Source organism: Homo sapiens, chromosome 5 (assembly GCF_000001405.40).
Source record: "Homo sapiens chromosome 5, GRCh38.p14 Primary Assembly".
Taxonomy (NCBI): Eukaryota; Metazoa; Chordata; class Mammalia; order Primates; family Hominidae; genus Homo; species Homo sapiens.
In genome coordinates this window covers 100,167,227-100,178,846 of record NC_000005.10, presented here as the reverse complement: position 1 = coordinate 100,178,846, position 11,620 = coordinate 100,167,227, and the positions used below count along the sequence as shown (strand labels likewise).

Here is an 11,620-nt window from a genome sequence, read left to right as displayed (position 1 = left end):
TCCTAGGTTATCTTCCAGGGTTTCTATAGTTTTTAGTTTTACATTTAGATGTTCAATCCATCTTAAGTTGTTTTGAATATGCTGTAAGAAAGAAGTCCAGTTTGTATCTTCCGCATCTTCTTCATATAACTAGTCAATTATTTGAGCATCATTTATTGAATAGGGAGTCCTTTCCCCATTGCTTGTTGTAGTCCACTTTGCTAAAGATCAGATAGTTATAAGTGTGTGACTTTATTTCTGGTCTCTCTATTCTGTTTAATGGGTATATGTGTTTGTTTGTAAACCAGTACCATGCTGTTTTGATTACTGTAGGCTTGTACAGTTTAAAATCGGGCAATAGGATTCCTTCAACTTTCTTCTTTTTAGCCTCTTTTTGGTTCTATATGAATTTTAGAATAATTTTTTCTAGTTCTGTGAAGAGTGTCTTTGGTAGTGTGATAGAAATAGCATTGAATTTGTAAATTGCTTTGGACCTTATGGCCATTTTAACAACACTGATTCTTCCTATCCATGATCATGGGATGCTTCTCAATTTGTTTGTGTCATCTCTGATTTCCTTGAGCAGTGTTTTGTAGCTCTCTTTGTAGAGATCTTTTATATCCCTGGCTAACTGTATTTCTAGGTATTTTGTTCTTTTGTGGCAGTTGTGAATGGGATTGAGTTCCTTAACTGGTTCTTGGCTTGAGTGCTGTTAGTGTATAGAAATGCTATACACTGATTATTGTATATTGATTTTGTATCCTGAAACTTTGTTGAAGTTGCTTATCAGCTCAAGGAGCTTTTGAGCAGAGACAATGGGGTTTCCAGATATAGAATCATGCTACCTGCAAACAGAGATAGTTTGGCTTTCTGTCTTCCTATTTTCATGTCTTTTATTTCTTTCTCTTGCCTAATATCTCTGGCCAGAACTTCCAATACTATGTTAAATAGGAGTGGTGAGAGTTGGCATTGTTTTCTTGTTTTGGTTTTCAAAGGGAATGCTTTCAGCTTTTGCCCATTATGTGTGATGTTGGCTGTGAGTTCATCATATATAGCTCTTATTATATTGAAGTATGTTCTTTCACTGCCTAGTTTATTGAGGGTTTTTTTTTTCTTTTTTTTTTTCTGGAGTCTTGCTCTGTCACCAGGCTGGAGCGCAGTGACACAATCTCAGCTCACTGCAACCTCCACCTCCCAGGTTCGAGCTATTCCCCTGCCTCAGACTCCCCGAGTAGCTGGGACTACAGGCACACACCACCATGCCCGGCTAATTTTTTGTATTTTAGTAGAGATGGGGTTTCACCATGTTGGCCAGGATGTTCTCGATCTCCTTACCTTGTGATCTGCCCACCTCAGCCTCCCAAAGTGCTGGGATTACAGGCGTGAGCCACTGCGCCCGGCCTATTGTGGGTTTTTAACATGAAGTGATGTTGAATTTTATCAAATGCCTGTTGAGAAAATTATGTGGATTTTCTCTTTAGTTCTGTTTTTATGATGAATCACACATTGATTTGTGTGTGTTGAATCAACCTGGCATTCCAGGGATGAAGTCTACTTGTTCATGGTGGATTAGCTTTTTGATGTGCTGCTGGATCAGTTTGCTAGTATTTTGTTGAGATTTTGTTTCTATGTTCATGAAGGATATTGGCCTGCAGTGTGTGTATGTGTGTGTGTGTGTATGTGTGTGTGTGTGTGTGTGTGTGTGTGTGTGTGTGTGCTTGCCAGGTTTTAGTATCAAGATGGTGCTGGCCACATAGAATGATTTGGGAATGCATCTGTCCTCTTCATTTTTTTTTTTTTTTTGAAATAGCTTCGGCAGAAATGGTACCAGCTCTCCTTTATACATTTATTAGAATTCAGCTGTGAATCCATCTGGTCCTGGACTTGTTTTTGGTTGTTAGGTTATTCATTATTGACTCAATTTCGAGCTCGTTATTGGTCTATTCGGGAATTTAATTTCTTTCTGGTTCAGCCTTGGGAGGATGTATGTGTCCAGGAATGTATCTATTTCCTCTGGATTTTCTAGTTGTGTGCATAGAGGTGTTCATAGTGGTCTCCGATGGTTACTTGTATTTCCTTGGGGTCAGTGGAAACATCCCCTTTGTAATTTCTAATTGTGTTTATTTGAATCTTCTCTCTTTTCTTCTTTATTAGTCTAGCTGCTGGTCTATCTTATTAATTTTTTAAAATAACAAATTCCTGGGTTTGTTGTTCTTCTGCATAATTTTGCATGTCTATATCTGAAGACATTTCTTAGTTTAAAAATATTTTGCCAAGAGAGACTGATGAAGAGGGATCACCTTATTTTTCATTTGAGAAATTATTTCTCTTCATTTTTAATTTTTTATTTAATTAATTAGTTTATTTATTTTTAGAGACAAGTCTTGCTCTCTCACCTAGGCTGAAGTGCAGTGGCATGATCAGAGTTCATTGGAACCCTGAACTCCTGGGTTCAAATGATCCTCCCCCTTCAGCCTTCCTAGTTGTTTGTACTACAGACAAATGCCATCATGCCTGGCTATTTTTTTTACTTTTTGCAGTCATGAGATCTTGCTATGTTGCTCAGGCTGGTCTTGAACTCCTGGTCTCAAACTGTCCTTCCAGTTTGGCCTCACCAAATGTTGGAATTACAGGCGTGAGCCACAAAGCCTGGATTTCACATTAAATTATTATCAGAGCTGTATATTAAAATATCAGTTCTTCATTCTTTTAAAATTTTTATCATATGCATAAGAAGCAATGTTTATGTTATTTTCCACTTTTTGCTAATAAATCTACATAGACGGATACATGAATTCATTAGATACCTTTTCTATTTCCATGTTACTGTATGAGACAGTGTTACCAAAGTTTCTGCCATTACATAGAAGGTGTTATTTTATGGTCTTCAACAACATTGTCTCATCTTGGCATTGTCTCATGTTCATGGTTATGAAGTGTCTCCTTCAGGATCATCCAGCTTTCAATGAAAGTCATCTTGAGGCTCTTTTAGGTCATGCCCCCTGCTCAGTTTTAAAGGCAAGTGTTTTAGAGTTTTTGATACATTGACTCCCCAGTCCCACGTACCAAATTTCATTCTGATTATATATTCTTGTGTAAAAAACTTCCCTAAAGCTTAAAACAGCAAACCAATATTTTGTTGTATCACAATTTTGTGTGGCAAGTATTCACATTGAGTTTGGCTGGGATAACCTCTTGCTTCATATGTCAACTGCAGCCATTCACTGGTACTTTTTAGGTTTGTCTGGAGGGTCAAACATGGCTAACATTCATAGCTGGCTGGGCACCTCTCTATAACAATGAGTTCCTCTATGTGCTCATTTGGGCTTCCTCACAGCATTCATTGTGCTCTCACAATAACCAGACATTTTTTCATCGCAGTTGGCCTTGAATAGCATTCCAAGAGTAAAGCAGTGACCTCAATATATTTTTCTTAACTGGCTTCATAGATCATATGATTTCACTTCTAACACATTATATTCTTTACAAGAAAACCACAAGAAAAATCTAGATTTAATGGCTGAGGATCATTGAAGGCTATGAATAGGAGATATATGTTTCATTTGGGTAGGTGGGCTAATTTATGAAGATTAGCAATGGTAGAATTTTCTGACAGAAATTTACTTATGTGTATAATTTGATGGCATAATCTTATGGATGTATATGCATATGGACATATACCTTCCTAGAGCTAACTTCTTAGCTTCTTTATACTTGGCAGCTGTCTTCAGGAATGAACGTTGTTGGGTTCCGTTGTAAAATCTATGCCCTACTCAATTTCTTTATATTTCTGGTGTGATAGGGATTAATCAAAAAGCAAAGTAATCTAAATGTCATTTTATTCTAGTTCAATGTTATAGATTCTCTGTAATATCCAAAGAATAAATTTGTATTTATATCAATCTTTAGGAGGGAAATATTAGTTAGCTTTCTCAAATGTAAGTTACAAAATCCTACAAGATACATATAATTCATTTAAAAGACCTATTTTACAACAACTTTAAGTTTTGCCAAGGTCCTTATTATAAATAGTGCAACAAAATATAGTTAGAGTACAATATATTTAATCAACTAACCTTTTTTATTCTCGTTTTGGTACAAAAGAAAATACATTTTGTCTTTATCCAAAAAAACGTCACTTGTGTCACAGGTGGATTTTCTGTTGTTTGGACATTTTCTTATTTTTGTGCTTTGCCGCATCTGACCTTTAGTACACAGGTAACTTTTGGTCTTTTGCTGCTACTAGTTTGCTAAATAGTCATCTCCAAAAATAAAATAGTAGCACATTGCAGAAACAGGTATATTAATATTTAGGAAAATGTAGCAATGTAAATGTAATGTAAAAATTACAGGAGAAATAGAAACAGATAATTATATACTGTTATTACTATCTAAATGATTCCTGGATGGCAGAAAGTAAAAAAAAAAAAAATTTACTGAATATTTCTTCCTGATCCTTGTTCGCATCATGATATGTTAATCATTCTGTGGGTTTTCTTTTGCTAAGTTAATTGAAATAAGGATCCACTTTTAAGCTCAGTCACATGGTTGTTGGGAGAAGGCCTTTGTTCCTTACCACATGGGCCTCTGCATAGGGTAACATGGCAGTCAGCTTTCTCCAGACTCAGTGGTGAGAGACAAAGACAAAGAGTGCAAAAGGGAATTCGTAGTGTCTTTTATAACCTAATTTAGAAATTATATACCATCACTTCCTCCATATTCTACTGGTGACACAACACAGACCAACCATGATACAATGTGGAAGAAGACTACAGAAGCAATGAATAAAAGGAGAAGAGACAGTCATTGGGAGCTATCTGGAAGTTAGTTACTGTAATCTCTCCCCCATGATTTAAAGTGAAATACATATATTTAAGTCTTTCTAAAATCTCTATTTTACTCAGTTGATCTTTCTATGAATATAACAAATCATTCAAAGATATATTGTGATGATAGCTATAAATATATCTATACACATTATATATATTTTTAAAATGCTCATGTTTATATATGTGCAATTTTATATATCTATATGTATGTTTATTGCCCACTGTTAAATTTTACTTTCATTATGTGTTTTCATGTTTCACTTTCATTCGAAAAAAGAAAAATAATGGAAGTTCTTATTATATAAGCTTTTACATTCCAATAGAAAAATATAAACTATTGTTTGCTTAATACATATACTTACTGAAAATCATTTCTCAAGATCTGGCAATTTTTATAAGAATGGTATTTATATTTTATTTCATTTTCTAAACAGATTAGATTAATTTCTAAACAGATAGACAGTAGATTAAAATTTCCTCTAGCATACATAAAAATATCCTAATACAATAATATTTCAAGTAATATATTTTAATATAAAGTCATGTTTTATAAGTGATAATCACACAGGACATTCAAAATTGACAATCAGACATATTTGCCATTTTTAGGCTCTATTAAACAATAAACTATTTAATAGCTCCTCTTATTTATTTCTAAATATCATGGAGATAAACATCCTTCTTTGAAGGATGACTTTGTGCAATTTTGTTGAACTTTAAGGCATGATAAATTAATTTTAAGCTAGGATATGTGTAAGTTAATTAGCTTGTACTTTATATCATTGCATTCACGGATTCTTTTAATTTTGAGATAATTTACGCAGGTGACATTAAAAAATATCTTGAAGTATGTTTTTCTGTTTCATGAAATCAGTTCTTGGATGCTTTTTTTGGCCACATTATTATCATATATCAATAACTTAAATATTTACTTAAATTATAGCTGCCAATTATTACTTAACTCTTTGTTAGGCATGATTCAGATCTTATCACCTATATTGCCATACTCTTTCTCAAATTTAATAAGATTATCTTATGTCTTAAATGGAATTATCTTATGTCTTAAATGGAATAATTAGTGAAATATACTACTTTAAATTAGTTTTCTCTGATATACATTTTCCGCTTTTTTGTGTTGAAGGTCATTTTATATAAATAAGGATAACACTAGTGCTATTGAGTTACAGTCATCCTTTGGAAAAAAATGTTTATTACTATATAATTGTATAGCATTTTACTTATTTATTTGTACATTGGCTTGTTCATTTTAGGAACAAAAATTAATTTCAAATCTATGTTAAAGTAAACTGTCATTTTTAGAATTAATTTTTATTTCTTCCAAAACATTCATTTTTTAAAAATTTAGACATTTACAGTAACAAAATGTATTGTTTGAATGTTACTGCATGGCACTGAAAAAAATCTTTATGTGATTATAGAATCTCTAATAAACATGTATAAATATCTATTTAAATAATCCATACTGATAGAAAAAATATTCATTTCAAGGCCTTTAAACTAAATTAAATTGTTAGCCAGTTCTGCAAAATTGTCTTCTTATATCAACTCCAACAATCCCTGAGTCAAGTGACTTACTCAGGACATATAGCCAGGAAGTGGTAGAGGCAAAAAGAGTTGCTATTACTTTTATCAGAATTTTCAAAATTTCTATAATAGAAAATCTACTATAGAAATGTCTCCATGGTTAAAAAATGAATGCATTTTCCAGCTTAAAATGACTTCAGCTTACATCATTCCATGAGAACTGCTCTCAAGAAGGTAAAACATACCTTTTTAAATCCTAATCTTACATGAACTTATTATGTTCCACATAGCCAATAACTCCCTCCTTCTTGAAATTTTCACCTTTCTTGTCTTCTGTATTGCGTTTTTTTTTGTTTGTTTGTTTTTTTTTTTTTTTGCCGTGAGCTCTTTTACCATCTCTTTGACAACTTATCTTACTCAATTCTGCTTTTATAAGTTGTAGCTTTCCGAAGGTTAGGATTGTGTTTTTTTTTTCCCTCTAATTCTGTAAACCTTCCTTAAGAACAATTGGTTTTGCATCAACTTCTGTTTTTCCTTTAACAATATCATCATTCTTGTTTTCTTATCCTTTCAGGATAGGTATGAGAAAAGAAAGAACTTGTTTTTTGCTCCTTGGAATGTGCCACAATTTTAAAGAATATATATTTTTTATCATTTCCTGGTTTATTTGGAGACAGCCTATGTTAGTGATGCACTACCCATTGCAAACATATCTCTTTAGGCTTGTCTCTCTGGAACTTATCTATAGCCCTGGACATCCAATGATCTACCTTTTACTTTCTCAGACCTCTTACCTCTTCTTGTATATGATACAAGAAACCACTATGCTGTTTCTCTGCTGTGTAGCCTGTATCTGCTTCAGCACACACTAGGAATGGAGTTCTTCCTAGGTCCTAGCCTTTTCTCTGATGCCACAGGTTCCTTCAACCAGCCTTTTGCTCCTTCGGTTCTTCTGAGATGTGACTCAAACACCAGTCGAACTGAAAGATAAGCATATTCATCTTCCAAGTAATGGGATTAAAGCTTTTTTCTCTTGAATTCTGTTTATGATGCAGCATTCCCTAGCCCTTTCCCTTGGAGGGTGCAGTTCTTTTTTTTTATTTATTTTTATTTTTTATTTTATTATTATTATACTTTAAGTTTAGGGTACATGTGCACAATGTGCAGGTTTGTTACATATGTATACATGTGCCATGTTGGTGTGCTGCACCCATTAACTCGTCATTTAGCATTAGGTATATCTCCTAATGCTATCCCTCCCCCCTCCCCCGACCCCACAACAGTCCCCGAAGTGTGATGTTCCCCTTCCTGTGTCCATGTGTTCTCATTGTTCAATTCCCACCTATGAGTGAGAATATGCGGTGTTTGGTTTTTTTGTCCTTGCGATAGTTTGCTGAGAATGATGGTTTCCAGTTTCATCCATGTCCCTACAAAGGACATGAACTCTTCATTTTTTATGGCTGCATAGTATTCCATGGTGTATATGTGCCACATTTTCTTAATCCAGTCTATCGTTGTTGGACATTTGGGTTGGTTCCAAGTCTTTGCTATTATGAATAGTGCCATAATAAACATACGTGTGCATGTGTCTTTATAGCAGCTTGATTTATAATCCTTTGGGCATATACCCAGTAATGGGATGGCTGGGTCAAATGGTATTTCTAGTTCTAGATCCCTGAGGAATCGCCACACTGACTTCCACAATGGTTGAACTAGTTTACAGTCCCACCAACAGTGTAAAAGTGTTCCTATTTCTCCACATCCTCTCCAGCACCTTTTGTTTCCTGACTTTTGAATGATCGCCATTCTAACTGGTGTGAGATGGTATCTCATTGTGGCTTTGATTTGCATTTCTCTGATGGCCAGTGATGATGAGCATTTTTTCTTGTGTCTTTTGGCTGCATAAATGTCTTCTTTTGAGAAGTGTCTGTTCATGTCCTTCACCCACTTTTTGATGGGGTTGTTTGTTTTTTTCTTGTAAATTTGTTTGAGTTCATTGTAGATTCTGGATATTAGCCCTTTGTCAGATGAGTAGGTTGTGAAAATTTTCTCCCATTTTGTAGGTTGCCTGTTCACTCTGATGGTAGTTTCTTTTGCTGTGCAGAAGGTCTTGAGTTTAATTAGATCCCGTTTGTCAATTTTGGCTTTTGTTGCCATTGCTTTTGGTGTTTTAGACATGAAGTCCTTGCCCATGCCTATGTCCTAACTGGTATCGCCTATGTTTTCTTCTAGGGTTTTTATGGTTTTAGGTCTAACATTTAAGTCTTTAATCCATCTTGAATTAATTTTTGTATAAGGTGTAAGGATGGGTTCCAGTTTCAGCTTTCTACATGTGGCTAGCCAGTTTTCCCAGCACCATTTATTAAGTAGGGAATCCTTTCCCCATTGCCTGTTTTTGTCAGGTTTGTCAAAGATCAGATAGTTGTAAATATGCGGCATTATTTCTGAGGTCTCTGTTCTGTTCCATTGATCTATATCTCTGTTTTGGTACCAGTACCATGCTCTTTTGGTTACTGTAGCCTTGTAGTATAGTTTGAAGTCAGGTAGTGTGATGCCTACGGCTTTGTTCTTCTGGCTTAGGATTGACTTGGTGATATGGGCTCTTTTTTGGTTCCATATGAACTTTAAAGTAGTTTTTTTCAATTCTGTGAAGAAAGTCATTGGTAGCTTGATGGGGATGGCATTGAATCTATAAATTACCTTGGGCAGTATGGCCATTTTCACGATATTGATCCTTCCTACCCATGAGCATGGAATGTTCTTCCATTTGTTTGTATCCTCTTTCATTTCATTGAGCAGTGGTTTGTAGTTCTCGTTGAAGAGGTCCTTCACATCTCTTGTAAGTTGGATTCCTAGGTATTTTTTTCTCAGTTCTTAAACTCTTTCTAAAGAAATGTTCTTTAAAAATAATCTCTCAGACTTTACTCCTTTCACCCTTTCATACCCTTTTGGGAGTGAGAAGTTATAAAGTTACTTAACCTTAGGTTTACCTTGTTTCATGTGTTTTGTATCTTACGTGGCTTTGGAATGTGTCTTAGGTAGCTGATATCTTCATTTTAGCATTTCATTATAATGAATGAAAAAGAAATCTCTATATGAAGGCATCTCTGGAATTTATGAGTGTATTTTTCAATTCTTCCTTTTGTGAGTGGCTTTTAAACCTTTTTGTTTGAAGTAGTAAACAAAAGGATTTTCTGTCAGTGGTAAAGATTTTCAGGATTTGCTAATCTTTTAATTCGAGACAGCTATAGTACCAAATCTGAAGTGGAGCACAGGAGGTGAGGTTTGAAATGGGGGTGGTTATGAGGAGTTAGAAACCACAAATTAGAAATTCAGGAATTCCTGAACTTACATGAGAAGTTATAAATTTTACTCACAGTTACCTAGTTTTCACTTTTTCGTAATTAATATTTAACTATGATACAAAAATGTTTCAAGAAAATTAAAAATATTTTCACATTTTGATGAATAATTTTGTTGTTCATGTAAAAGCTAATGAAGTATATATAACAGTTGAAACTAACTCTAGGTAACTAGGCAATTAGTCTCTATTATTATTATTAACCTTGTCATCATTGTACCACTGTCAATTGGATATATAAATATTATAAAATACAGGACATGACTAAAATTAATGTATAAGGAATAGATGTGCTTATTTGGTTTTGCCCTTAATAGCAATATATCACAGAGTACTTCATTCATGCTTCCATTTATTCAGTCATTTTTCTAAGAGAAAAGTTCAAAATGCTGTAATTTGGAGTCTATTGTTTAATTAGTATGACTGTATATTTAAATACAAATAATAAAAGGAAAGATTCTCATTATTGATATTTTGTCAGAAGCTCAGCTAAGAGCTTTGTTAGTATTGCCTTAACTAACACCACAACTCTATGAAATAGTGACTTGTATTATTTCAATTTTTACATGTGCAAATTGTGGCTTAGTGAAATAAGAAATTGCAAAAGATCTCACATGTGGTTGAGTGGAAAAGCAGGATTTCATACCTGTTACAAAGTGCATACTCTTAATTATAATACACCGAATATGATAATATCCTATAACGTTTGCAATCCAGAGACAGTTCAAGTTAACGTTTTGAGGATTTTTAAAATTGAATTTAAACCAATTTTCTAAATAATTTTATCAAATTATGTGTATACTTTCTTCTTTAATAAGTACAAATCAGAACTCATGTTATCTATCTATATACCTATATACACATACATCTAAATAAGCATACCCTGATAACACTTTATTTATTTATTTTTAAAATTCAGGATAGTGAAAGCTGAGCTGTTACTATTTAAAATTGAAATAAATATATTGATTAATCAAATATTCTAATTATCCTGCAATTATGTATACATTGGCCCCATTAACATTGATGAGAAATACAAGACTAGGAAAATATGATTTGTTGAAGATTGTGCAAATGAAAAATTAAGATCTGTTTCAATCACTTGAGCTGAAAGCATTTACCAGAGTTCTAATAATACGTGCAACATTTACATATGATCAGAATTATTTTTAGTTCTGGTGTATAAAGCAGGAAATCAATGTGATATTACAAGGGAAAAATCCATGTAATGAGTGATCAAAGAGCCTACAGGGCTCCTATTATGTGTCTTGGATTTCATTTTGCCTCTCTTTTATGTGTGGCAATGAGGTGTGAAAATTGTTCTTTGGTTGTCTTAAGTATCAGTAAACTGCATCGTACCACACTTATTTAGGACTTAATGGGAATGGGTGAAATTTACTTTACAATTAACTCCAGCATTTAAATGAAAAAGGCAATATTCAAAATGGTGTTGTACTTCCTGTTCAAGTGAAGTTTTCTAGTGAATGATTCATTAGCTCTTTCAAGTCTAGTTAGCAATAACTTCTTTACATTGAAGAGCTTTCCAAGTCACTACATCTTTGCACAAATTATACTCAGTGAAAATTAAATTCTCATGAAATATGTTTTCATTCGAGTGGTAGCTATCCAGACCCATATCCAAGTGATGATATTCCTAAGCTCTAGTTCTAACATCTAGGAATATTAAATTCTCATTCAACAAAGGCTAACTAAATGCAATTTTTTAAACTTGTTATTAATAAATATTTAAAGTTCTAACTCCATCTAACTCCCTGGAAATAGGAGGTTATTGAATTTTTGAAGTTTATTGACTCTTTTAGTCCAAAAAAGATTACTATATATTTTCTGTATTATTGAGCACTTTGTTCAAAGACAATTAGGATTTCCAACTCCTGACGGTTTAGCT

The 11,620-nt window shown here is 33.6% G+C and overlaps 1 annotated feature.

The window, feature by feature from the left end:
* Window positions 10,762-11,412: an enhancer, noted in NCBI's record as "NANOG hESC enhancer chr5:99503139-99503789 (GRCh37/hg19 assembly coordinates)". NCBI's record gives its function as "activates a minimal SCP1, AML or CMV promoter by ChIP-STARR-seq in primed H9 embryonic stem cells {active_cell/tissue: H9 hESC(primed)}" and the evidence as "EXISTENCE:reporter gene assay evidence [ECO:0000049][PMID:30033119]".